The sequence below is a fragment of the Homo sapiens genome, chromosome 8, assembly GCF_000001405.40.
Source record: "Homo sapiens chromosome 8, GRCh38.p14 Primary Assembly".
Taxonomy (NCBI): domain Eukaryota; kingdom Metazoa; phylum Chordata; class Mammalia; order Primates; family Hominidae; genus Homo; species Homo sapiens.
This window is the reverse complement of record NC_000008.11, coordinates 123,375,995-123,403,478: the sequence shown is the minus strand read 5'-3', so window position 1 is coordinate 123,403,478 and position 27,484 is coordinate 123,375,995. Positions and strand designations below refer to the sequence as shown.

The 27,484-nt window shown below is 43.7% G+C and overlaps 1 protein-coding gene and 1 pseudogene across 6 annotated transcripts in view, besides 6 other annotated features; one reads left to right on the top strand and one right to left on the bottom strand.

The window, feature by feature from the left end:
* The window catches only part of ATAD2 (ATPase family AAA domain containing 2), a 96,501-nt gene that overhangs the window by 12,872 nt on the left and 56,145 nt on the right, over positions 1–27,484 (top strand). For 4 of the 6 annotated variants that reach the window (XM_011516994.4, NM_014109.4, XM_011516995.4 and 1 more), the window contains exons 1-2: positions 7,032–7,292; positions 22,802–22,950. In XM_011516994.4, coding sequence (XP_011515296.1) covers positions 7,122–7,292; positions 22,802–22,950 — 320 coding nt within the window. In that variant the 5' untranslated portion in view covers positions 7,032–7,121. Of the gene's footprint in view, positions 1–7,031; positions 7,293–22,801; positions 22,951–27,484 lie in introns of those variants that run through there. The other 2 variants (XM_047421723.1, XM_047421722.1) reach the window with 1 other exon arrangement.
* Positions 664–2,957, bottom strand: IMPDH1P6 (inosine monophosphate dehydrogenase 1 pseudogene 6; annotated as a pseudogene).
* Positions 6,596–6,890: an enhancer, noted in NCBI's record as "tiled region #2006; HepG2 Activating DNase matched - State 1:Tss, and K562 Activating DNase unmatched - State 1:Tss". NCBI's record gives its function as "activates a minimal TATA promoter and a strong SV40 promoter by Sharpr-MPRA in HepG2 and K562 cells {active_cell/tissue: HepG2 | K562}" and the evidence as "EXISTENCE:reporter gene assay evidence [ECO:0000049][PMID:27701403]".
* Positions 6,906–7,075: an enhancer, noted in NCBI's record as "active region_27874". NCBI's record gives its function as "activates an Ori minimal core promoter by ATAC-STARR-seq in GM12878 lymphoblastoid cells {active_cell/tissue: GM12878}" and the evidence as "EXISTENCE:reporter gene assay evidence [ECO:0000049][PMID:35858748]".
* Positions 7,126–7,175: an enhancer, noted in NCBI's record as "active region_27873". NCBI's record gives its function as "activates an Ori minimal core promoter by ATAC-STARR-seq in GM12878 lymphoblastoid cells {active_cell/tissue: GM12878}" and the evidence as "EXISTENCE:reporter gene assay evidence [ECO:0000049][PMID:35858748]".
* Positions 7,336–7,515: a silencer, noted in NCBI's record as "silent region_19498". NCBI's record gives its function as "represses an Ori minimal core promoter by ATAC-STARR-seq in GM12878 lymphoblastoid cells {active_cell/tissue: GM12878}" and the evidence as "EXISTENCE:reporter gene assay evidence [ECO:0000049][PMID:35858748]".
* Positions 7,946–8,085: an enhancer, noted in NCBI's record as "active region_27872". NCBI's record gives its function as "activates an Ori minimal core promoter by ATAC-STARR-seq in GM12878 lymphoblastoid cells {active_cell/tissue: GM12878}" and the evidence as "EXISTENCE:reporter gene assay evidence [ECO:0000049][PMID:35858748]".
* Positions 9,960–10,460: an enhancer, noted in NCBI's record as "H3K4me1 hESC enhancer chr8:124405259-124405759 (GRCh37/hg19 assembly coordinates)". NCBI's record gives its function as "activates a minimal SCP1, AML or CMV promoter by ChIP-STARR-seq in primed H9 embryonic stem cells {active_cell/tissue: H9 hESC(primed)}" and the evidence as "EXISTENCE:reporter gene assay evidence [ECO:0000049][PMID:30033119]".

Sequence of the window (27,484 nt, the reverse complement as noted above, 5' to 3'; positions counted from 1 at the left end):
ACTGCAGCCTGGGCAACATAGGGAGACCCTGTCTCTAAAATAAATCAATAAATGTTTAAAAAAAAAAAAAAACCCTCCTGGCTGGGCGCAGTGGCTCACGCCTGTAATCCCACCACTTTGGGAGGCCTAAGTGGGCAGATCACCTGAGCTCAGGAGTTCGAGACCAGCCTGGGCAACATGGCAAAACCCCGTCTCCACGAAAAATACAAAAAATTAGCTGGGAGCAGAGGTGTACCCCTGTAGTCCCAGCTACTCCCAGCTACTTGGAGGTTGAGGTGGGAGAATCTCTTGAGCCTGGGAGGTGGAGGTTGCAGTGAGCTAAAATCCCACCACTGCACTCCAGCCTGGGTGACAGAGTGAGACCCTTTCTCAAAACAACAACAAAACCCCTCTCTATTGTGCTCTTGAAGCGCGCCATCTTGCCCATGCATACCCTTCTATTCTCAGTAGCTACTTCTCTAGCAATCAACTCTTTCCTCGTCACATTCCAGAACAGCGCGACACAAATCACTCTGTGGATAAGAATCACCAGGAGACTTCCTGAAAGAAATCCAAGTTTCCAGGCCTTATCTCAGACGCATGAAATCAGGATCTTTAGAGGAGGCACCTGAAGCTGTGTGTAGTGTGTTGATTTTTATTATTATTATTATTATTATTATTATTGGCATTGAGACCTGCTTGATTTATTCTGATTATTTAATACACAATGACGCAACTATGATCCCAAAGTGTGCAAAGTTAAAGCCTTCAACTACAGCTGAGGAGAGGGCAGGAATGGTACACCTGGGGACGGTGGTGAGTCAGGAATGAGGGGCAGGCAGCCATGACCAGAGCAGCCTTCTCCCCAGGGCCAGGGACAGGGGAGTGGCCTGAGGAGCAGGACCCAAGGGTAGCCCAGGGCCGGGGAAGGGGGCAGAGACCTCCCCTTAGCCTAGGTCAGGAGCTCAGAAGTGCCACATGGCTGAGGGGGCAGTAGGCCAGAGGCAGGGCCAGGAGAGCACCATTTCCTGGGGGACTGGGGGCAGGGAAGTGCCCTACAGGAGAAGCCAGGAGGGGCTGCCTGCCCCTGGGGTGGGGGCCAGGCTGCAGCAGGCTGCAGCAAGACCTGAAGCAGGCGTAGGGCCTGAAAGCCCAGCTGGCTGGGCTCTGGGGGCCTCCCAGGGCAGCCTGGCCCAGGGAGCAGTCCTGACTCTGCAGGGGATGCCCAGCGAGGGGTCACAGACCCCTCACAACTTCGCCTCCTCTCTCCCTGGAAAGGAGCTGGGGAACCCGTAGTGCAAATCTGTGGACCACTCAGTGATGGAGGGAGGCTATGCCCGAAGGTGGACACTGGGGGGTGCCCCCTCCACCACCTCGGCCTCCACTGCTGTCAGTACAGCCGCTTCTCCTAAGAGTGCAGGCCATGGACGCCACCCTCAATCTGGGCCGACATGGTACGCTTCTCAAACTTGAGCTCTCCTGAGTACATCATGGACCAAAGGACAGACAGGCTGCGGGCCCTGATATCCTGGCAGCCATGCTGGATGCCCACTATGAGGTAGGGCACAAACTTCTGAATGGACCCTTTGTCCTGGATGGAGCCCGAGACACCCTGTGTGATCTTCACCTTATCCTCCTCACTGAAGTATCGTGCCTGGCTGCTGCTGCTCTTCTCCATGGCATCCAGCAAGCCTGTGCCCCAGTATTTCTTGAGCCGCACCCCATCTGAGAACTATTCGCTGGGGGCCTCCGAGGTGGCAGCCAGCAGGGAGCCCATCATCACTATGGAGGCACCAAGGGCCGGCACCTTGACGTGCCCCACAGTCAGGATGCCACCATCGGCTATGATGGGCACACCAAAGTGCCGGGCATACTCAGCCACCTTGTACACACAGTGCCCTGGGGGCAACCACATGCCATCACTTCCTGGGTGATGCAGAGGGAGCCGCAGCCTATGCCCACACACAGCCCGTCCACACCAGCATCAATCAGGTTCTTGGCCTGGGCTGCTGTCACCACGTTCCCCCCAATCACCTGGAGGTGGGAGTACTTCTGTTTGACGTAATACACCATGGCAGTTGATACAGCAAGTTCCCTTCGGACAAGTCCAAGACTATGACGTCGACACCCGCCTGGGTGAGCAGGTCCAGGCGGTATTTGTCATCCTCACAGGTGCCCACAGCTGCCCCACACAGCAGCTGCTCATGGGAATCCTTGGAGGCCACAGGGTAGTCTCGGTTCTTCAGGTCGGTGAGGGCAATGATGGCCACCAGCTCATCATCGTCATTGACGATAGGCAGCTTCACTTTCTTGCTTTGCTGCAGGATCTCATTTGCCTCTTTCAACATCACTCCTGCTGGAGCCACCACCAGCTCAATCCTTGGCATCATCACCTCACTGAGGAGGGTGGTGTGGTCCTTCTCAGCAAGAAAGTCGATGTCTCGGGAAGTGACGATGCCCACCGGCTTGCTGCCCATGGTGCCTGTCTCAGTGATGGGGATACCAGAGAAGCCATGCCGCATCGTGGCCTCCAGCACATCACCCACAGGGTGCGAGGGGCTCAGCACCATGGGGTCCGTGATGAAGCCATGTTCAAACTTCTTGACCTTCCGCACCTCCTTGGCCTGGAACTCTGGGGTGCAGTTGTGGTGAATGAAACCAATACCTCCCACCAGAGCCATCGTGATGGCCATGTTGCCCTCTGTCACAGTGTCCATGGAGGAGGAGATCAGCGGCGTCTTCAGCGTGATCTTCCAGGTAAGGGCTGAGGTGAGGTCCGCCTCATCAGCTATGAAGTCTATGAATCCTGGGAGAATCAGGAACTCGTTGTAGGTGAGGCTGTCGGCTCTGGCGAAGAGCTGCTGCGTGGTGAGCCCGTCCTCGGGCACGCAGCCGGTGCCCTGGCTCATCAGGTAGTCTGTCAGGCTGCCAGAGACCCGGCGACCCAACATAAACACCCGCTCGGCTGCCAGCCTGCCAGGGCAGGCTATTTTTTTGAGACTGGGTCTCACTATGTTCCCCCGAATGGTTTGGAACTGCTGGGCTCAAGCGATCCTCCCACCTCAGCCTCCCAAGTAGCTGGTACTACAGGCCCGCACCACCACACCTGGCTTTGTGTAGTGTGTTTAATAAGCTCCCTGGGGAATTCTATCTTTGAAGTTCTGGAAGCATTTTCAACTATTTTGGACTTCCTACCTCAGGGCCTTTGCACTTGTTCTTCCCATTCTCTGGAAAACCCTGCCAATTTTTTGATCGGCTGATTCCTTCTCATATTTTACGTGTCATCTAAAATGTCGCCTCCTCAGACTGATCTTTCTTTTTTATTTATTTATTTTTGAGCTGGAGTCCCACTCTGTCGCCAAGGCTGGAGTGCAGTGGCATGATCTTGGCTCACTGCAACCTCTGCCTCACGGGTTCAAGCAGTTCTCCTGCCTCAGCCTCCCAAGTAGCTGGGATTACAAGTGTGTGCCACCATGCCTGGCTAATTTTTGTATTTCTAGTAGAGACAAGGTTTTGCCATGTTGGCCAGGCTAGTCTCGAACTCCTGACCTCAAGCAATCTGCCTGCCTCGCCCTCCCAAAGTGCTGGGATTACAGGTGTGACACATGCCTGGCCTCAGACCTTTCTTTCTTTCCTTCTTTTTTTGAGATGGAGTTTCGCTCTTGTTGCCCAAGCTGGAGTGCAATGGCGTAATCTCGGCTCACCGCAACCTCTGCCTCCCAGGTTCAAGAAATTCTTCTGCCTCAGCCTCCTGAGTAGCTGGGATTACAGGTGCCCGCCACCATGCCCAGCTAATTTTGTATTTTTGGTAGAGATGGGGTTTCTCCATGTTGGTCAGGCTGCTCTAGAACTCCCGACCTCAGGTGATACCCACCTCGGCCTCCCAAAGTGCTGGGATTACAGGTGTGAGCCGCCCCGCCTGGCCTCAGATTGACCTTTCAAGTCCACTGTATGTTTCTCTCCTCTTCCTTCAACCACTCTGTATCACATGACCCTGTTTCATTTTCTTTATACCACTTGCTATAATGAAGTTACCTTGTTTATTTACTTCCTTGTTTATCCACTGAGTACCTCTTAGAATGTAAGCTCCATGAACCTAGGGTTCCTGGTTCACTGCTTTACTCCCTGCACCTCTAACTATGCTTAGAATAAGATGGGGGCTCAATTAAAATTTCCTGAATAAACAAATCAAATGAGATGGTATATACAGTATATAGTCGTGTGGTTTTTTTTTTTTTTGAGACGGAGTCTTGCTGTGTCGCCAGGTTGGAGTGCAGTGGTGCCATCTCGGCTCACTGCAACCTCTGCCTCCCAGGTTCAAGCAATCCCCCTGCCTCAGCCTCCTGAGTAGCTGGGGCTACAGGCGTGCACCACCACGCCCAGCTAATTTTTTGTATTTTCAGTAGAGACGGGGTTTCACCATGTTGACCAAGATGGTCTCAATCTCTTGACCTCGTGATCTGCCCACCTCGGCCTCCCAAAGTGGGGGGATTACAGGCGTGAGCCACCGTGCCCAGCCATAAATAGTATTTTAAAACCAAGTAATAGTAAACTCTGCTACTTTTTAAATTTTTTAAACTGTACTACTTTAAATATTGTTCCTTTCTTTTTCACCTATGTTGGTTAAACAATTATTTTAAAGTTTTTTTCTATTGTAAAAGTGAAGCATATTCATGCAAGAAAAATCAGAAAAATTGTTTGGGCATGGTGGCTCACACCTGTAATCCCAGGCTTTGGGAGGCTGTGGTGGGAGGATTGCTTGAGGCCAGGAGTTTGAGACCAGCCTGGGCAACAGAGTGAGACCCCGTCTCTAAAAACAAATTAGCCAGGTGTGATGGCACACACCTGTGGTCCCAGCTACTAGGGAGGCTGAGGTGGAAGGATTGCTTGAGCCCTGGAGGTCAAAGCTGCAGTGAACCGTGGCTGCGCCACTGCACTCCAGCCTGGGTGACAGAACAATAATCTGTCTTCCTGGGGACGGTAGCTCACGCCTGTAATCCTAGAACTTTGGGAGGCCAAGGCAGGTGGATCACCTGAGGTCAGTAGTTCGAGACCAGCCTGGCCAGCATGGTAAGACCCCATCTCTACTAAAAATACAAAAATTAGCTGGGCATGGTGGTGCACGCCTGTAATACCAGCTACTCTGGAGGCTTAGGCAGGACAATCGCTTGAACCCGGGAGGCAGAGGTTGCAGTTAGCTGAGATCATGCCACTGCACTCCAGCCTGGGCAACAGAGCAAGATTCTGTCTCAAAAAAAAAAAAAAAAAAAAAAGAACAAGAACCTCTCTCAAAAAAAAAGCAGGACTCCCAGTTAAATGCGAAGTTCAGATAAACAACAAATACTTTTTATATGTCCCCAGACATTGCATTCTTCATTCAGCAGCCACGCAGATTATTTTTAAAGTCGGAATAAGTCAAACCTCTGTTCAAAACCCTGAGATGTCTTTTCATCTCAGGGTTTGGATGGGAATTTGGGGGCTATAATAAAAGCCCTCAAAAGTTTCAAACTAAGACCCAGAGTCCCGTAGGACCTGCTCCCAGTGGCTCTGTTCTCATTGGCCTCGCCACTCTCCCCTTCCTGCTTCCCGCCTCTCTCTTCTTCCAGAACCATCTAACCTTTAGGCCTTTGTCAGACTTCTCAGCCAGACCTTCCCTAATCACCCTATTTTAAATTGCACTCTTCCCTCCCCCTTCCCTACTTTATATTTCTCTGTAATGCTTGCCACTTTAAAACTTTTACATTTAGTTTATTGTCTTTCACCTTCCACTAGAGTTTAAGTTCCATTAGGGCATTTTTGTTCTTTTTATTCACTGCTGCATCCCCAGTGCTTAGAATAATGCCTGGTACATAATAGAGGCTCAATATGTATTTAACAAATATTAAATTAATGAACTGTAGTTATCCAAATCAATAAATAGCTTTCGTTTATTTCGCTAAGAGCCCTCGGACATTCTGATCATTCAGCGTGTTACCTATTTCAAAGTAGTCAAGTAACTGCCATCTTAGAGAAGCCATCTTCTTGTATTCTGTGATAATAGCGAACGCTTATTGAGCACTTATTATGTGCAAGCACGGCTCCAAGGTATCATAATAGTACTTTAGGGCCTTAGGTATTACAATCGGAGTTACTTTCCGATTATATGTACATTCCGAGATACGTATAAAAAGTATTTGTTCTTTATCTGAACTTCACATTTAACTGGGAGTCCTGCTCTTTTTTTTGAAACAGGTTCTTTTTTTTTTTTTTTTTTTTTTTTGAGACAGAGTCTTGCTCTGTTGCCCAGGCTGGAGTGCAGTGGCACGATCTTGGCTCACTGCAACCTGTGCCTCCCGGCTTCAAGCGATTCTCCTGCCTCAGCGTGTGAGGAAATTAGAATGCAGGGAGGTGAATAATTTGTTCGAGATCTTCTATGTGGGATGATCAATGGCAAAGATGGGTACAGAACCCGCGTCCTTAACTAAACGATGGCACTCTGCTGGCTCGCTTTTAGCTCCTTGTGTTTTCTTTCTTTTTGGTGGTTAACTTGTTTTCGTCAAGCCCTCAATTATTTAAAAAAAAAAAAAGTTCTTAAGGCTCAAAGTCAAAACCTGTCAAAGGCCAAGTGCTTTATTTCCCTCCAGTCAAGGACTGGGCATTTTGCATTTGAATCCTGGATGGCGGGAAGCAGCAAGCAGGTGTCAACAGGGGTGGGGAGGAGACGCCGGACCCCACCAGCCAATCAGAGCGCGCAGAGGCCTCCCTTCCCCCGCCGCCGTCCCGCGCCAAAATTCCAAACGGGCTACGCACCGCTCCCACCGTCTCCTTCCGCCGAGCTCAGCGAGCCGGAACTATGTGAAGAAAAAGAAGTCAGCGTTTTCCCCAGGACTCTCCGCTCAGGTCCTCTATACTGTCGGCCTGTGTTCCTCTCCACGTTGGCCCGGCCTCCTTCGCTCTACAAATGGGAGGAGAGTTTCGAGCCTGCTGTTCTACGGTGGTGGCGTGGGCGGGACAGACGGCGGAGGGATTCTGGGCGCGCGCGCTGCGGCCGCTGGCGCGGAGCTTGTGGCGCCAGAATTCGGAGCGCGGAAGAGCCAGAGCTGCGAGCGCCTGGAGCTGGATCTCTCTCCGGTCGCGCACGCCGAGGCCAGTAGGGAGAGAAGATGGTGGTTCTCCGCAGCAGCTTGGAGCTGCACAACCACTCCGCGGCCTCGGCCACGGGCTCCTTGGACCTGTCCAGTGACTTCCTCAGTCTGGAGCACATCGGCCGGAGGCGGCTCCGCTCGGCCGGCGCGGCGCAGAAGAAACCCGCGGCGACCACAGCCAAAGCGGGCGTGAGTACGGGCCTGAGGCGGGCTCCCAGGGCGGTTCCCGGGGGGACTGCCGGCAGCCCGGCGCTCGGAGGGGCCTGGGGGTGGGCGGCGCCGGTCAGGGTGACAGTTGTCGGGGGAGAAGTGTGGTCGAGGACGAGTAAAATGGAAGCTCTCGGGATCGGAGGTGCGGGTCGGATCGCTGAGCTGAGGCTGGCCGGGAGAGGACTAAGCATTTGGTCACCACCTACTTTTACGCAAGAGGAAATCGAAGCCCGCCACAGCGGAGTGCGGTCTGGGGCCAAGCCGCGGCTGTTCGGCCGCCCGCACGACCCCCCACTCCCTGGCCGATCGATCGCCCAGGCTCCTGCCCTAGGTTCGCATCAACCTGGAGGCAACACGCATCCCCTGACTGCTTTCTGTCTGCGCCATAAACGTTGGGGGGGAGGGGGCACAGGGACAGACAGGTTGTAATTCAGGTTCTCTGACCTCCATTAACGATCCAGAGGAGTTCCGTAATAACAGCGCAGTGAATAATACCAGGTTGCATAATGTGGAGGGATGAAGACCAACATTTCATGTACGCCCCCCGCTTCCAAGCCTCGTCATAACCCTTTGAGAATGCGTAGTTGTGCTATCTCTTTGACAGATGAAGAAACGGATTCAAAAAGGTAAACAGTAAGGGGTAGATCTAAAATTGGAACTCAGATTGCCTGCCTCCTAAATCGTTCCCTTTCTATGCCGTCATGCTGCAGTTACAAGCAGTGTCTATAGGGGAAGTTTGGAAGGAAGGAGGGTCCTCTTGAAAGAAGTGCTGCTTCTAGGTCTGAAGTGCAGTGACGGTTTTTGCAGGGCAGAGTTAAAGCTGAGCAGTTACTCCCCTCCCATCCACCTCCCCACCCCAGCTGCTGAAAGAGGCCTAGGTGGAGGGGTTTCAGCATTCACAGAAGGTTGAAGAAGTCGGGGAAGCTCGCTAGTAAATTTAGTTAAGGCAGCAAGTAATATATAGCTGGACTGAAGGTGTTGGAGTGAGTGAGGGTAGGCATGGAGTAGGAAAAATAGGACCTGAGAGAAGGTTGGGAACTTGGGAATGAGAATGAGAGGCTCAGGGGAAATGTGTGGTGGAAGTGACAATGTAATCCTCTTCAGTTCAGCAGACGATTTCAGGGTCTTGTATTAAGTCTTCTATTAAGATCTTGTATTTAGATAACTATATAAAATTAGTTGCCAGTATCTTTTGTGGGCATCCCATTCTGGTTGCTACTCTACTGAGGGGAATGGGTTAAAAACTACACTCCCTTCAGTCTCTGAAATTGTGATTCTGAATTGAAAAGACAAGTAATTTCCTGACTTTAAAGATTTGTTTCTCAGTCATCTGCCAGGAATTGGCAGAGACCTGGAGAGGCCAAACACTTCTGCACTGGAATTGGTTACTTGACTTAACCTGTGTTCAGAAAATGTGTTTCAATACTGATTGATTATTTATGTCCAGGGTAACACTAGATCCTGTGAACATAATGATACGTACTGATATATTGAATACTGGTTAAATACATAGGCTCTTTTTTTTTTCTTCGAGACAGAGTCTCACTCTCTCATCCAGGCTGGAGTGCACTGGTGTGATCTCGGCTCACCGCAACCTCAACCTCCACCTCCCGGGTTCAAGCAGTTCTCCTGCCTCAGCCTCCCAAGTAGCTGGGATTACAGACATACACCACCACGCTGGGCTAATTTTTGTATTTTTAGTAGAGACAGGGTTTCTGTATGTTGGCCAGGCTGGTCTCGAACTCCGACCTCAGGTGATCCACTTGCCTCAGCCTCCCAAAATGCTGGGATTACAGAATTGAGCCACCCTGCTTGGCCAAATACATAGACTCTTAAGAAAACTGTTAATTATGAATTTCAGTTTCAGCTTCTCAGGTTTACCAATAATCATCAGGTTTCTACACTTGTTAAATGGGATGATACCCACCACATTGGTAGTGAGGATTAAATGTGATCATGTATGTAAGGAGATTAATTGAACAGTTAGCATATGGTTAGGATTCAGTCATTGTCAGCTATTAAGACCATCGTCAGTTTTAGTTAATGGCCACTCCGTTTTTTTTTTTCAGTTCCTCAGGAAAAAAAACCTTAGGTTGTTGTTGACTCCTCACATCCAGTGCATTAGCAAATTCTGTTGGCTCCACTTTCAAAATATATTCCAAGTCTGACCACTTTATATGTCCTCCAGTGTTGCCATGCTGGTTCAAGCCATAATCTCTTTCCTGGATTATTTATTTATTTATTATTTTGAGACAGAATCTTGCTCTGTCACCCAGGCTGGAGTGCAGTGACGTGATCTCGGCTTGCTGCAGTTTCCGCCTCCCGGGTTCAAGTGACTCTCCTGCCTCAGCCTTCCAAGTAGCTGGGATTACAGGCATGCGCCACCACGCCTACCTAATTTTTGTGTTTTTGGTGGAGACGGTGTTTCACTGTTTTGGCCAGTCTGATCTCAAACTCCCGGTCTCAGGTGATCGGCCCACCTCAGCCTCCCGAAGTGCTGGGATTACAGGCATGAACCACCGCGCCTGACCATCTTTCCTGGATTATAATAGATTCTTGATTGGCCTCCTTCCCGTTTTCCACTGTTTGATATATATATTATGCCCCACCTTCCCTCAACAGTCAGTTCTCTTTATTTATGCATTTATTTATTTTTGAGACAGAGTCTTGCTCTGTCACCCAGGTTAGAGTGCAGTGGCACCAACGTGGCTCACTGCAGCCTCAACCTCCCAGGATCAAGTGATTCTCCACCTCAGCCTTCTAAGTAGCTGGAACTACAGGGGCTCGCCACCACACCCAGCTCATTTTTAAGTTTTTTGTAGCAATGGAGTCTCACTATGTTGCTCAGGCTGGTCTCGAACTCCTGGACTCAAGCAATCCTTCAGTTTCAGCTTCCCAAATTGCTGGGATTAAAGGTGTGAACCACCACGCCCCACCAATAGTCAGTTCTTAATGCAGTGAATCTTTTTTTTTTTTTTTTTGAGATGGAGTTTCGCTCTGTCACCCAGGCTGGAGTGCAGTGGCCCAATCTCGGCTCACTGCAAGCTCCACCTCCCGGGTTCACGCCATTCTCCTGCTTCAGCCTCCCGGAGTAGCTGGGACTACAGGCACCCGCCAACACGCCTGGCTAATTTTTTGTATTTTCAGTAGAGACAAGGTTTCACCGTGTTGGCCAGGGTGGTCTCGATCTCCTGACTTCATGATCCGCCCTCCTCGGCCTCCCAAAGTGCTGGGATTAGAGGCGTGAGCCACCGCGCCCAGCAAATGCAGTGAATCTTTTAAAAAGTCAAAACAGTTGATCACTTAAAACCCTCTTGAGACTCCCTATCTAAGTAAAAGTCTGTAAGTTTGGAAGCAGCCCTAAGCATCCCTGCATCCTTTATAATGACATCTTTTTCTACCCCTTTACAAAACGCACTCTATTCCAGCCACACTGGCATAGCTGCTTCTTTAATACCAGGGCCTTTCCATTTGGTATACCTCTGCTGGAAATACTCTTCCCCTTGATATCTGCATGACCCATTCTTTTAACTTTTTTTTTTTTTTACATTATTTTAAACTAAAAAACAAAACCTCAGGAATTATAGTACTTTAGTGTGGTCCAGAAATTGTACAAATAAATAACTCAGTCCTTACAACCTTATGAGGTAGGTAAGATTTTTTTTTTATGAGAAAACTGATGCACAGAGACTTAAATAAATTGCCCAAATTCACCTTATAGTAAGCTGTGTGACTATGATTCAAATTTAGGAGTCTGTCTACCTCAAGTCTTTGCTAAAATTTCACCTTTGCAATGATGTTTACCATAAGCACCATATTTAAAATTACAAACCACTCTCCTGACATGCCTCTCCTAGCACTTGTCACCTTCCAACATTTTCTGTACTTTTCTATTTTTAAGTATTTTTCTCTCTTCCCCAATCAGAATGTAACTGCACGGGGACTTGGATTTTGACTTTTTTTTTGGCAATGTTATCCCAGCACTTAGAACAGAACCTAGCAGGAAGTAAGTGTATATTAAATATTTGTTGTTGATTGTTCTTACTCTAAAGAGATACAAGTCTAGCAGAGGAGACCTAACAGCAATATACAGAGACTATTTGCCATAAATCCCGTATTTGTGGTATATGGTGGTTGAGCAATTAGAATGCACTCTGCTGGATGTTGTAGGGTAGAAAGGATCCCCCTCAACCCCCACCACAGTTCCCAGCAGGCATTATACCTTTTTGAGACAAAGTTCTCCTCCCTTTTATACATCAAGGTGTCTGTGTAGACCAAATTATAATCACAGTGTTACATAATGAGCATGGGATTGGATTAAAATAAATCGGTGGTCTTTAGGGGTAATGTATTCATACTGACAAGCCCATCAGTACCAAAAATGAAACATGCCTCTGTAATTGGAATATTTTCTGATTTGGGGGCTTTACATTCAATACATTTGGTTGGATTACACCTTGCTGTTTTACATCAATCATGCATTTCAGAGACTTCACTCCCTGATCACCCTGATTATATTTGGATATTTCTTAGTTTCCTCAGCCACATATTTATTGACAGAGCATTTCTTAGGCTAGGCTGCTTTTATGGGTGGTTACATTTATTCATTTAATTCATTAACTTGAATTTTTCCTAGTCTAATCTCAGGCTGACCTTTTTTTTTTTTTTTTTTTTTTTTTTCAAAACTTCTCATTACCTCTGATCAGGCTGATCTTATCTTCAAGTTCTGAAGTTACTTTTAGTCACCTATTTATTAACTACATTGTATTTTTATATTTTGAATATGTTCTCATTCAGCTGGGCTTATAGATTTGTGTTTTTGTTTTTTCCTGACTTGTATGGGTTCCCTGAATATTGTGGTGGTGGTGGTCTAAGTTTGTTTTTTGTTGTTTTTTTAAAACTTCTATTTTCATCCTACCAACTTTATGACTATGGATATCTTTTCTGTAGTTTCTTTTTCTTCCAGAATCAGAGTAGCCATTGTCTATTTCTGTACTTTCTTTGTTTTCTAAGGTCTGAGGTTCTTTGGTTTCTGTAAATTTAGGGTTGTTTCTCATGTTGAAGAGTCACTTAAGGATGGATAGTAGGGTGTTTTTTTTAAATTGATGATGATCGTACATTACTTTTGGGTTTTTTTTTTCTTTTGAGACTGTGTTTTGCTTTTGTCGCCCAGGCTAGAATGCAGTGGCGCAATCTCTGCTCACTGCAACCTCTGCCTCGTGGATTCAAGCAATTCTCCTGCCTCAGCCTCCGGAGTAGCTGTAAGCGCCTTCCAATTACAGGCGCCTGCCACCATGCCCAGCTAATTTTTGTATTTTTAGTAGAGACGGGGTATCAAACTCCTGACCTCAGGTGATCCACCTGCCTTGGCCTCCCAAAGTCTGGGATTACAGGCGTGAGCCACTGCGCCTGGCCTACTTTTGGGTTGTTTACCTACATTTTTACTTTTCTGTGTGTTAGGTAAAATAGAACATTCTGCAGTATGTAGAAGGTACTATTTTAAAAATTGTATGTTTATTTGAAAGTCTGGAAAGATACTCAAAACTCAACACCAATATGTGTAACATACAGGAGATTTTAAAAACTTAAAGCATAACACAGTACAGAAACATGAAAAGTATATAGCTTAATGAAGTATCACAAAGCATAGATAGGGAGCTTCTGGGTGTGGCAGTGAATGGTGTTCCCTGGAATTGGGTGACATGGCAGTTCTGTATTCAGTCATAAGCAAGAAAGGGCCCTTGATTTTAGGTTTAGAGGTTACAGCTTTATGTGGGAGACAGTGAAGAGCTAGAACAGGGATCTGATGAGACAGTGTTTCGGATGGATTATAGTTAACAAAAACCTAGAGCTAAGAAGACCAGTTAAAAGATTATAATGGTAGTCTGGGTGCAGTGGCTCATGCCTGTAATCCTAGCACTTTGTTTGGGAGGCCGAGGCAGGCATATCACCGGAGATCAGAAGTTCAAGACCAGCCTAGCCAACATGGTGAAATCCCGTCTCTACTAAAAATACAAAAATTAGCCGGATGTGGCAGTGTGCACCTGTAATCCAAGGTGCCGGGGAGGCTGAGGCAGGAGAATTGCTTGAACCCTGGAGGCAGAGGTTGCAGTGAGCCGAGATTGCGCCATTGCACTCCAGCCTGGGCAAGAGAGCAAGACTCTGTCTAAAAAAAAAAAAATATATATATATATATATATATATAAAATAATAGTAATAGCTACCACTTATATAGCAGTTGCTGTGTACCAGGCATAGTACTTGATAAGACACATATATTTCTCCTGTTTATAAACTATTATTATCCTCATTACTAGATTCTTAGTATCTAGTATCCATATACTAAGTATTCTAGATTCCTAGATCCTTAGAGTTTAAGTTAAGGTGGTATTAGTAGGAATGGAGAAAAATGTCCAATAATACAGCACAGGATCTGAGAGTTGTTTGAACACAGGGAGGGAAGACGTTGTTTCCAGCTAAAGAAGTGAGCAGTAGACCATTGGGAGTTTTGTTTTGTTTTGTTTTTGAGACGGAGCCTTGCTCTGTCGCCCAGGCTGAAGTGCAGTGGCGCGATCTGGGCTCACTGCAAGCTCCTCCTTCTGGGTTCACGCCATTCTCCTGCCTCAGCCTCCTGAGTAGCTGGGACTACAGGCGCCCGCCACCACGCCCGGCTAAGTTTTTGTATTTTTAGTAGAGACTGGGTTTTCACCGTGATAGCCAGGATGGTCTCAATCTCCCGACTTCGTGATCCGCCCGCCTTGGCCTCCCAAAGTGCTGGGATTACAGATGTGAGCCACCACGCCCGGCCGACCATTGGGAGTTTTATGCCAGAATTGCTAAGAGGTTGGGACTGCTTGTCCTTGAGGATGAATAGAAAACAGCAAAGCACAGGCCGGGCACGGTGGCTCACACCTGTAATCCCAGCACTTTGGGAGGCCAAGGCGGGCGGATCAGGAGGTCAGGAGATCGAGACCATCCTGGCTAACACGGTGAAACCACATTTCTACTAAAAATACAAAAAAAAAAAAAAAATTAGCCGGGCGTGGTAGCAGGCTCCTGTAATCCCAGCTACTTTAGAGGCCGTGGCAGGAGAATGGCGTGAACCCAGGAGGCGGAGCTTGCAGTGAGCCAAGATCGCGCCACTGCACTTCAGCGTGGGCGACAGGGCGAGACTCTGTGTCAAAAAAAAAAAAGAGAGAGAAGAAAACAGCAAAGCACAAAAAGAATTAAGGAGGTCTGAAGCAATGCCTGTATTTTAAAGGTGAGAAGTTGAATCATGGAACTAAGAGTATTAAGTAAACCAAGGGACCGAAGCATTTTAAGAAAGTACTGGCCAGGCACAGTGGCTCACACTTCTAATCCCAGCACTTTGGGAGGCCAAGGTGAGAGGATCACCTGAAACCAGAAGTTCGAGACCAGCCTGAGCAACATAGTGAGACCACCCCCCCGCCCCCACCATCTCTAAAATAAAAAATAAAAATTGGCTGGGCATGGTGGCTCACACCTGTAATCCCAGCAGTTTAGGAGGCCGAGGCAGGTGGATAACTTGAGCCGAGGAGTTCAAGACCAGCCTGGGCAATGTGGTGAAACCCTGTCTCTACAAAAACCAGCTAGGTGTGGTGGTGCCTGCCTCTAGTCCCAGCTACTCAGGAGGCTGAGAGAGAGAATCGCTTGAACCCAGGAGGCAGAGGTTGCAGTGAGCTGAGATCGTGCTGCTACACTCACTGCACCCCAGCCTGGGCGACAGAGCAAGACTCCGTCTCAAAATAATAAAATAAAATAAGATAAAATACATAATCAGTAGCCAGGCGTGGTGGCACATGCCTGTAGCCCCAGCTACTACCGGGGAGGCTGAGGCAGGAGGATCTCTTGAGCTCAGGAAGTTGAGGCTGCAGTGAGCCATGATTGTGCCACTGTACTCCAGCCTGGGTGAAGGAGCAAGATCCTATCTCTAAAAATAAATAAAGAAGGTAGTGATCAGTTCTGTAGAATTCAGTGAGGTAGAGAAAAGGCTATTGGATGTAGCTATTGGGAGACAGTTGTGAATGTACTGAAAGAGCTGTGGAGGTAGAAACTAAGTTGGAGTTTACCGAGTAGATGGTGAAGTGGTTTAAACTCATGTTTAAAGACAAAACTAAGGAAGGATATCACAACTATAGTGATATAACATGTATATCATGTATTAGAATATACTGTTGTTTAAGTTTTCAGGGAGCCCTAAATTTGTGTTGAGTACATCCTATTTCAACCTCATTTGTTGATATTTGAATTGACTCAAACAACTGACCTCCCCCCCAAACATGCTTTTTAAAAAATGAATTTAAAGCTTGAATAAGCTTGGTCTTCTGTGAAAAATAACATAGAATATTTTTATTATGCAACTGTGTATACTTTAGGAAAACTTTTTTGTTATTTTATTGCTGCTTTTTCTCTATGTTAACTTACTGATTCTGCAAGGTTGTGAGAAACTTAAAATTTAACAAAATACTAACATTTCCTCTCTTAAAACTTCACTTTTAAAGAACTATAAGTGCTCTCAATATTTAAGTAGATTTTAGCCAAAGAATAAATGAGAATATTACATCTCTAGGTTAAAATTTCAGACTAAGTTTGTTTTCTCTTTGTTTTTTAGTTTTTAGGAATTTTTTTCTGGTAATACATGTGAAAATGTGAAAAATAGAAAGTGAAAGTCCCCATCTCTGTCATCCAATGTTAATTACTGTTAACAGTGTTGAACTTACCTCTTGGGAATTAGATGACTTCGGTTTAATACCTGTGCTAGTCTTCCTTAGGAAAGAAGATATACACAAGATAATTCATCTAGAGATATTTATAACATCAGAAAAAATTGCAGGCAACCTAAATATAATACATTCAGCAATTTGTTAAATAGATTCATGTAATGGCTGAAATACTATTCATTCATTAAATTTTTAGAGTAATATTTAATGACATGAAAAAATATTGATATTACTAGAAAAAACTTATAAAACATATAGTATTATCTCAGTTTTAAAATCATGTAAATATGTTTGCATAGGAAAAAAATGGTTTTTGCACCAAGAGATTAAAAGAGGTTGTCTGTGAGTGGCTGAAATTAAGGGTGACATTTTCATTTTTCCAGTAATAATGGGCATGTATTGCCTTTATTTTTATATTGCTTTTGTTAGAACTGTTTTTGAAAGATGCATTTAAAAATTTTTTAGTGTATACTCTATATAGAGGACTCCCACATAATTTTTTTTTTTTTTTGCCCACATTGTTGAGTCTTTCTTGCTGCCTAGTACTTATTTGGAGAGAATGACAAGCCGTTCACTATGCACATCAAAGATTCTCTTATACCACTTATAAGATTGTCTTCCAAGTTTCTTAGGAAATGTTTTTTCCTAGTATTGTCCCCATCCACCCCTTTTCTTGTTTTGTAAGGAAACAAAATCTTTTTTTATCCTCAGGAATATGGTAGCATTTATTTTCTTTTTTAATGTACCAAAATATACATAACATAAAATTGACCGTTTTAACCGTTTTTAAGCTTACAGTTCATTAAGTACATTCACATTGTTCTGCAACCATCATCACCATTCATCTCCAGAACTTTTTCATCTTCCAGAATTGAAACTCTGTACCCATTAAACACTTACTCCCAGTTCCTCTCTCCTCCTAGTCCCTGGCAACCACTGTTCTACTTTCTGTCTCTGAATGTGACTGTTCTCTGAATCTCATATTCCTAGACTAATCATATTTGTCTTTTATGACTTGCTTATTTCACTTAGCATATCTTCAGAGTTCATCCATATTGTAGCATGTGTTAAAATTTCCTTTTTTAAACAAGAAGGAATAATATTCCATTGTATGTACCATGTTTTGTTTGTCCGTTCATCTGTCAGTGGACACTTGGGTTGCTTCCCCTTTTGGGAATTGAATAATGCTGCTGTGAACATGAGTACAAATATTTGTGCAAGTCCCTGCATTCGCTTCTTTGAGTGTATACCCAAAAGTGGAATTGCTGGATCATATAGAAATTTTGTGTTTAACTTTTTGAGGAATTGCCTTACTATTTTATGTTACCACCAGCAACACACAAGGATTCCAGTTTCTCTACATCCTCACCAACAATTGCTATTTTCTCCTTTTTTTTTTTTTTTGTGAGTAGCCATCCTAATGTGTGTGAAGTGTTATCTCTGTGGTTTTGATTTGCGTTTCTCTAATGACTAGTGATGTTGAGCATCTTTTCATGTGTTTATTGGCTATTTGTCTATCTTTGGAGAAATCTCTATTCACATCTTTTGCTTATTTTTTAATTGGTTTGCTTGTTTTGCAAAGGAGTTCTTTAAATATTCTGGAGATATATATATGTATGCGTGTATATATGTGTGTGTGTGTATGTATATATAAAACCTTATATACCTTATCAGTATATGATTTGCAGATTTTTTTCGTATTCTGTAGGTTGCCTTTTCACTCTGTTGATAGTGTTCTTTATGCATAAAAGGTACTCATTTTGATGAGGTCTAACTTACATATTTTTATTTTGTTGTCTGTGCTTTTGGTGTCATCCAAGAAATCATTGCCAAATCCAATGCTGTTTTCTCCTAAGAGTTCCTAAATTGTTTTTTAGTTCTTTATTCTCTCATACAGTTTTAAGTTATCATCTCAACTTCCCCCTCATTTATTTCTTTCAAAGGATGTAATTTCTGTCATCTTTTGATGTTGACATTAAAAAGAATAAAACTATTATGTCAGACTTTACCTGTATCCACTGCAGTCTAAAAACCAGTTGATATGTTTTGAAACATTTAAAAATAATAACATGAGCAAACTCTTAGCAAAGTTTACCTTGATTCTTTTTTTTCTCTCTTTTAATTTGCATTTTCAGTCCACTTAACCCACTGCATTTTATGGTGATGTGAAATTTTTTTCTATACAAGCCATTTATTTGAAATGTCTACTATATGTAAGACAGTCAGTGTTAGCATGCTCATCAATAACAGTAGAAAAATAGAACCAGTGGAAACCTGTATAGCTGTAATGGTACTCAAAAGAGAATTGTATCCTTTTAAAATGTTTTACACAGGTGAATTCAAGTTTGGAGGTACCTAAATAAAAATATTACATATTTCTTTAAAAACGTTTATATACAATTAAAATATAAACAAGTTGTACAAAGTACTGGTTATGCAGGTTGTAGACAACACTTGAATGGGACATGAAATCAGTTTAAGAAAAATGTCTGAGCCTTAGTGGGCTTCTGAGCGCCAAGAAATAAAATGTTTGTGGGTAGAGTTGTTAGAATTAATGCTCTGTCAATCAAAACAAGAACATATTATCTACTTGGATTTGAAATGATAAAACTTAGAAAGTAAGATTTTAAAAAATTGTTTCGCTAATCTTTGTATCGTTCCAATTTTGTGAGCAAGAAAAGTAAGATTTTAGGAGATCTCACATGGTTGAAGTTCCCTTACCCACCCAATTAGTTCATGTGTCTGTGGATGTATCATAGTTATTGCTAAAGACAGTGTTCTCTTGAAAATGCCTTGCATGGGCCTGGCACATGGGTGCTTATTACATACTCTTGCTTTCTTGCCTCTGGGTTGGGGAGGCACTGCACTGCAAAGGGAGCCCCTCCATTCTGAAGACATTGCTAGGGGAGAGTCTGGACTTCTACCTGTGACCAGAGTGAAGGGAAAATTCTTGCCTTGTCAGAGATGGATCAATGACCATGAAAAATCTACCCTGTGATCTTTTTCAGTCTAAGCATTAAAAGCTCCTAAAGCAAAACAAACAAACAAAAAATCAAGACTGTGTTTTTGTGTATCGGTTGCATTGTTTTTATAAATGTAAGTATTGTTCATATAAATAAGTAGACAGTAATAAAAGGAGTTATGCTTAGCAGTGCCACCCAGTTTTTTTTTGTTATACATCAAAAGTCACTTGCCAAAAATGATTTTTAATGTTCTTTTAGCTTTATTAGGTCTCCTTTCAATTTTATTGAAAGCAGAGAATTGAAAACCACCTAATAAGGGAAAGTATTTGTTGCCTTTCTTTAGTCATTCAGTTTTTTTCTTTCTTTCTTTTTTTTTTTTTTTGAGACGGAGTCTCGCTCTGTCACCAGGCTGCAGTGCAGTGGCATGATCTCAGCTCACTGCAACCTCTGCCTCCCAGGTTCGAGCAATTCTCCTGCCTCAGCCTCCCAAGTAGCTGGGATTACAGGCACGTGCTACCACACCCAGCTAATTTTGTATTTTTAGTAAAGACGTGATTTCACCATGTTAGCCACAATGGTCTCTATCTCTTGACCTCATGAGCCCCTCGCCTCAGCCTCCCAAAGTGTTGGGATTACAGGCGTGAGCTACCACGCCTGGCCTAGTCATTCAGTTTCTTTTTTTTTTTTTGAGACTGAATTTTGCTCTTATTGCCCAGGCTGGAGTGCAATGGCACGATCCCGGCTCACCGCAACCTCCGCCTCCTGGGTTCTAGTGATTCTCCTGCCTCAGCCTCCCAAGTTGCTGGGATTACAGGCATGCGCCACCTCGCCCGGCTGATTTTTTGTATTTTTAGTAGAGACAGGGTTTCTCCATGTTGGTCAGGCTGGTCTCGAACTCCCAATCTCAGGTGATCCGCCAGCCTCGGCCTCCCAAAGTCCTGGGATTACAGGCATGAGCCACCATGCCCGGCTGTCATTCAATTTCTTAACACCTACACCAGTGTTTTTCTTTGGCTTTATGAAAGTTTTTAATACCTTGAAGTGTCTGCAATAGTGAAATTCAGAATGGGTGAGAGATAGAACTTTTTTTTTTTATTTAATTTTGTTTACTTTTAAAATTATATTTTAAGTTCTGGGATACATGTGCAGAATGTGCAGGTTTGTTACATAGGTATATATGTGCCATGGTGGTTTGCTGCACCCATCAACCTGTCATCTACGTTAGGTATTTCTCCTAATGCTATCCCTCCTCATGCCCCCCACTCCCCGAAAGGCCCTGGTGTATGGTGTTCCCCTCTCTGTGTCCATGTGTTCTCATTGTTCAACTCCCACTTATGAGTGAGAACATGCAGTGTTTGGTTTTCTGTTCCTGTGTTAGTTTGCTGAGAATGATGGCTTCCAGCTTCATCCATGTCCCTGCAAATGACATGAACTCATCCTTTTTATGGCTGCATAGTATTTCTATGGTATATATGTGCCACATTTTCTTTATCCAGTCTATCATTGATGGGCATTTGGGTTGGTTCCAAGTCTTTGTTATTGCAAATAGTGCTGCAGTGAACATGTGTGTGCATGTGTTTTTATAGTAGAATGATTTATAATCCCTTGGGTATATACACAATAATGGGATTGCTGGGTCAAATGGTATTTCTGGTTCTAGATCCTTGAGGAATCGCCACACTGTCTTCCACAATGGTTGAACTAATTTACACTCCTAACTGTGTAAAATTGTGCCTATTTCTCCACCTCCTCTCCAGCATCTGTTGTTTCTTGACTTTTTAATGATCACCATTCTAACTGGTGTGAGCTGGTATCTCATTGTGGTTTTAGAACTTTCTTTTTTAAAATGGAGAAGGGCAAATGAATGGGATGGCTTGTGCCTTTTCAGGCTGATCAGTTTTAAGAAAAAGTACATATGAAAGTTGATAATTTGGAAACAGATTCCATTTAAATATTCCTTGGAAAATGAAAGTCTTATACACTACACTGATCTAAGATGTAAATATTTGTCTTAAAAATAATACACCACCCAAGGTGTAAGTATTCTTTTTTCAAACATCCTCAAATATAGGTACATTGATAAAGATGGTGACAAATCTTACACATCATTTAATATTTTTGAAGTACCTGTCTAATTTTTACACAAATTATTGTGGTATAAATATCCTTTTTATTGTGAACCAACCAAATATTTTGCTCAAATCAAAAATAAATGCCCTGATAAAACAACATTCGACAATAGAGTAAAGCCAGCCTGGGATGTGATCCAAGGACTCAAATGTTTGGTGTTTTTTTCCTAAATCACTGCCCGTTTTTCTAAACTGATCAGTTTTCAGAGTAGTAGGGCATAGAATTATAGAGTTGTTAGGAACCTTTGACTTTGATTTCTATCTTTGGTTTGTTTGTTTGTTTGTTTGTGATGGAGTCTTGCTGTGTCGCCCAGGCTGGAGTGCAGTGGCACGATCTCTGCTCACTGCAACCTCCACCTCCTAGGTTCAAGCGATTCTCTTGCCTCAGCCTCCCAAGTAGCTGGGATTACATGCACGCACCACCAGGCCCAGCTCATTTTTGTATTTTAGTAGAGACGGGGTTTCACAATGTTGGCCATGGCCAGGCTGGTCTCAAGCTCCTGACCTCAAGTGATCCGCCCACCTCAACCTCCCAAAGTGCTGGGATTACAGGCATGAGCAACAGTGCCTGGCCCTATCTTTTTTTGTTTGTTTTGTTTTGTTTGTATTTTAGATACCTTTGACTTCTAATGTGAAAATACTCTATATGATCTCAGAGCGGTGTATGAACTTTGGAATACTTTATGACAGAACCTCTAGCTCATAAAGCAGCCCATTAACTTAGCCTCTAGTCTATTTATTGTACTAAAATGAAGTTACATAAAGCTGTATGGTTTTTACAACAGATTAACATACTTAAACAGTTTTGTTTTGTTTTGTTTTGTTTTGTTTTGTGGCAGGGTCTCACTCTGTTGCCCAGGCTGGAGTGCAGTGGCGCGATCACGGGTCACTGCAACCTCCACCTCCCAGGCTCAAATCATCCTCCCATTTCAGCCTACCAAGTAACTGGGACCACAGGTGTGCTCCACCATGCCTGGCTAATTTTTTTGCAATTTTAGTAGAGATGGGGTTTTGCCACGTTGCCCATGTTGTTCTGGAACTTGTGAGCTCAAAGCAATCCACCTGCCTAGGTCTCCCAAAATGCTAGGATTGCAGGCATAAGCCACCATGCCCGGGCCCTAAACAGTTTTTTAATTCAGCTGTTGCATTAGCTGGGTTAAAACTGGGCAAAATATACAGTAATAACTCTTTTTCATTGTTTAAGCCAAAATTATAATTCTGATGGACCAGTTATTTTGAGGTTGCTGCTGGTGGTTAGGTGACAGTATTTTGGTGAGTCTGTATCTTTCTTAGGTCTTTCTAACTTCTATAGCCTTAAAATAAATGAGTACCTACTATAATAAACTATTGCAACTTTTCGTCAGTGGTGGAAAACTTCACTCTCTAGACTACTTTTTATAAAGTGGTTATGAACTACTTGTTATGAACTATAAACCAGTAAATCTTATATTAGCTGCTTCATAGACATTGCTGATATTTGTTTATCATGAAATGGTTTTTCTAGATACTAACTTGTAGTTTCTTGGGGAGATACAAAATGATTCTGCACAAAAAGCAGTTTTTACTAACTTGTAATCAGAGAATACTCTTTGGAGGAATTTAAATTGGAGTTTTGTAAAGAAAAACTTAGATGGCTTTCTTAATTTTTCTTAAAGGATGGGTCATCAGTTAAGGAAGTTGAAACCTACCACCGGACACGTGCTTTAAGATCTTTGAGAAAAGATGCACAGAATTCTTCAGATTCTAGTTTTGAGAAGAATGTGGAAATAACGGAGCAACTTGCTAATGGCAGGCATTTTACAAGGTAATACAAGGTGGTTGAACACTAATTCAAAATAGTTTTAAAGCAGTAATTTAGGATTTGCTTTAATTTTTGAAGTGTATTTTTGACTGGTCATCAAGGTTCTAGGGCTATAAAATGTAGTTTATTTGAAAATAAATGATCACAAGTGAGTATGACTAAATTAAAAATTAATACGTGGCCAGGCACGGTGGCTCACACCTGTAATCCCAGCACTTTGGGAGGCCGAGGCAGACAGATCACCTGAGGTCAGGAGTTCAAGACCAGCCTGACCAACATGGAGAAACCCCGTCTCTACTAAAAATACAAATAATTAGCCGGGTGTAGTGGCGGGCGCCTGTAATCCCAGCTACTCGGGAGGCTGAGGCAGGAGAATGGCGTGAACCCAGGAGGCGGAGCTTGCAGTGAGCTGAGATCGCGCCACTGCACTTCAGCCTGGGCGACAGAGCGAGACTGTCTCAAAAAAATATATACAAAATTAGCTGGGCATGGTGGCGCATGCCTGTAATCCCAGCTACTCAGGAGGCTGAGGCAGGATAATCACTTGAACCCAGGAGGTGGAGGTTGCAGTGAGCGGAGATCATGCCATTGCATTCCAGCCTGGACAACAAGAGCGAAACTCAGTCTCAAAAAAAAAAAAATAATAATAATAATAATAATACGTGGCCGGGCGCAATGGCTCACACCTGTAATCCCAGCACTTTGGGAGACCGAGGCAGGCAGATCACGAGGTCAGGAGTTTGAGACCAGCCGGGCCAATATGGTGAAACCCCATCTCTACTAAAAATAAAATTTAAAAAATATAGCTGGGCATAGTGGCATGCACCTGAGGTCCCAGCTACTCGGGAGGCTGAGGCAGAAGAATCACTTGAACCTGGGAGGCAGAGATTGCAGTGAGGCAAGATCGTGCCACTGTACTCTAGCCTGGGCAACAAAGCAAGACTCCATCTCCAAAAAAAAAAAAAAAAATTAGTATGTACACATTCATGCTTTTATTATTCAAAGATGATACCTGTGATACATATGAGTACAGCTAACAAGGTTAGCTGACGTAGGATCAGTTCTCAGGTATTTGAGTATCTAAAGAGACCTTTTGTGACTATAACTTAGCTTGTGGTTTATGGCTCCACTTCATAGTCTATACAAAGCCTTCATTCATAATCGTAGTTCTGTTTCTGATTGCTTGCTATAAAGTTTTTTATCAATTCTGAGTCATTTATGAATTTCTATGTGTTGGTGTTGGTGTATTTCTAAAGCAGTCTGTACATACGGTTTTTTGGTTTTTAGAAGAGGAGGCATGAAACCCATTTTAAACTCAAGAAATCAATTTTAATGGATTAGGTAGTTTGGCTAAATTCATGGAACTGGAATATCTTTGGTTCAGGGCGAAAAACCCCAATTAGGGTAAAATTTGTTTGATGAAATAATTGTTTTGGCTGGGCACTGTGGCTCACACCTGTAATCCTACCACTTTGGGAGGCCAAGGCAGAAGGATCACTTCGGTCGGGGAGTTTGATACCAGCCTGGGCAACATAACGAGACCCTCTCTCTACAAAAAATAAAAATAAAAAAATTATCTGGGCATGGTGTCGCACACCTGTAGTCCCAGCTACTGTGGAGGCTGAGGCAGGAGGATCACTTGAGCTGGGGAGGTCAAGGCTGCAGTGAGCTATAATCATGCCACTGAGAGTGAGACCCTGTTTCAAAAAAAAAAAAGAATCGTTTTTACATTACTTCTTCTCATAAATAAACAATTTGTAATGACTTAGAAGACTGAAATCCTCCTGCTCTTAAATGGAATTTTGATTTTTTTTTTTTTTTTTTTTTTTTGAGACACAGTCTTGCTCTGTTGCCCATGCTGGAATGCAGTGGCATGATCTCAGCTTACTGCAACCTCCGCCTCCCAGGTTCAAGCGATCCTCCTGCCTCAGCTCACCTAGTAACTGGGATTACAGGCACGCACCACCATGCCCAGCTAATTTTTGTATTTTTAGTAGAGATGGGGTTTCGCCATGTTGGCCAGGCTGGTCTCGAACTCCTGACTTCAGGTGATCCACCCACCTCAGCCTCCCACAGTGCTGGGATTACAGGTGTGAGCTACTGCGCTGGCCTGGAATTTTGATTCTCTTATTTTGTATACCATATTTTCTAGATAAGCAAGGTTATGCCCTTTTGAGTTTTTAATTTTTTTCTCAGCTATTTCATCATTCTTTTAATACATATTTTTTAATTTGCGTCTTATCCATTATTTATGGAGTGTTTTATACTGTATTTTATGAAATCCATAGTATCAGCAATTACATGACAATGTTTATGGGACACTAAAAAAGAAAATCACTGACAGTAAACTGTGAGGTGCCATCAGTAAGACACATTCCAATTTCAGAGATGTTAAAATGGGGAGAAACGTACAACTTTTAGAATTGATGAAGTACAATATAAACCAGCCTGATATTTCTGAAATTTGAAGTCTTAAGGTTTATTCTTCTGAGGTAAGGTAGTGGTCCATTAACTGTCTCTGAGAACTTAAAATTGTTTTTGACGATCTGAAGAAAAAAATAAGCATTTTAGGACCCCTAAATTGTTACCTTATAGAGAATTGCCATAAAATTTGAGGCCATACATTTGTGTTTACAGTTGAATTGGCATCAAGTAGTACTACTTTAGTTATCTTAGATTAATGAGATAAGAACAGAATCAGACCTGAATACATAAATGATGCATCTGCTTCTGTATGAAAGGCAATATGATGTGGTAGCATGACATACTATTTAAATGAATGTTTGGCACATTTCCAATAAAGAGAAGTGGATGAGTTGCCCCATCGTGGTACACAGCAGTATATATAGCAATTATGGTACACAACATGCCAAACTCGAGAGAAACTGATAGCAGTCAATACCACATTCATACACCAAATGGTTATTTCATTTTAGCAAAACCCCTTATTACATTAATATTTATTGATGGTTTTATAGTTTTATTTGTATAAAACTTATAGATGAACTTCTATTTAGTTTGGTTTACATAGTCATACAAAAAAATTAATGTTGGAAGTCCTGTTTTTACCTTTAAAAGGATCTGTACATTATTCAAGTTTATAAAACATTGTTTGGCTTTATGTTAGAAAGGTCTTAAGGGAGTATAATAAAATAAATGCTTTCGATCTGGATTTAAAGAGGAATGACTTGGTATTTTTAATTAGATTATTTCTAAAATATATTGAATTTCTATCCTTTTTATTAATTCTTTTTTTCTTTTTGAGAATATTGCCTTGCTCTGTCACCCAGGCTGGAGTGTAGTGGCATGATCATGGCTCACAGTAGCCTCAACCCCCCAGGCTCAAGTGATCCAGTGGTCCTCCCACCTCAGCCTCCCAAGTAGCTGGGACTGCAAGTTTGCACCACCACACCTGGCTCTTTTTTTTTTTTTTTTTTTTTGAGACGGAGTCTCACTCTTTTTGCCCAGGCTGGAGTGCAGTGGCGCAATCGTGGCTCACTGCAACCTCCGCCCCCTGGCTTCAAGTGATTCTCCTGCCTCAGCCTCTGAGTAGCTGGGATTACAGGCATGCCCTACCACACCCAGCTAATTTTTGTATTTTTAGGAGGATAGGATTTCACCATGTTGGCCAGACTGGTGTAGAACTCCTGACCTCAAGTGATCTGCCTGCCTTGGCCTCCCAAAGTGCTGGGATTACAGGCGTGAGCCACCACACCCTGCCTCATTGTTAAATTTTTTGTAGAGATGGAGTCTCACCATGTTACCCAGGCTTGTCTTGAACTTTTTTGGACTCTAGCAATCCCCCTGCCTCAGCCTCCCAAAGTGCTGGGATTACAGGTGCTAGCCACAGTGCCTGGCCATATTAATTATTTCTTAATAACAGTTTATTGAGATATAATTTATACACCATACAATTCACAATTCTAAAGTGTACAATTCCATGGTTTTAGTGTGTGTGTGTGTGTGTGTATTTTTTTTGAGATGGAGTCTTGCTCTGTTGACCAGACTGGAGTTCAGTCTTGGCTCACTGCAACCTCTGCCTCCCAGGTTCAAGCAATTCTCCTAACTCAGCCTCCTGAGTAGCTGGGATTACAGTCATGTGCCACCATGCCCAGCTTTTTTTTTTAGACAGAGTTTTGCTCTTGTCGCCCAGGCTGGAGTGCAATGGCACAATCTCGGCTCACTGCAACCTCTGCCTCCCAGGTCCAAGAGATTCTCCTCCCCCAGCCTCCCAAGTAGCTGGGATTACAGGCAACCGCCACCACATCCAGCTAATTTTTCTATTTTTAGTAGAGACAGGATGAGACCATGTTGGTCAGGCTGGTCTCGAACTCCTGACCTCAGGCAATCTGCCCGTCTAGGCCTCCCAAAGTGTTGGGATTACAGGCATGAGCTACTGCACCCAGCCTAATTTTTTTTTTTATTTTGAGACGGAGTCTTGCTCTGTCGCCCAGGCTGGAATGCAGTGGCTCAATCTTGGCTCACTGCCACCTTCGCCTCCCAGGTTCAAGCAGTTCTCTGCCTCAGCCTCCCGAGT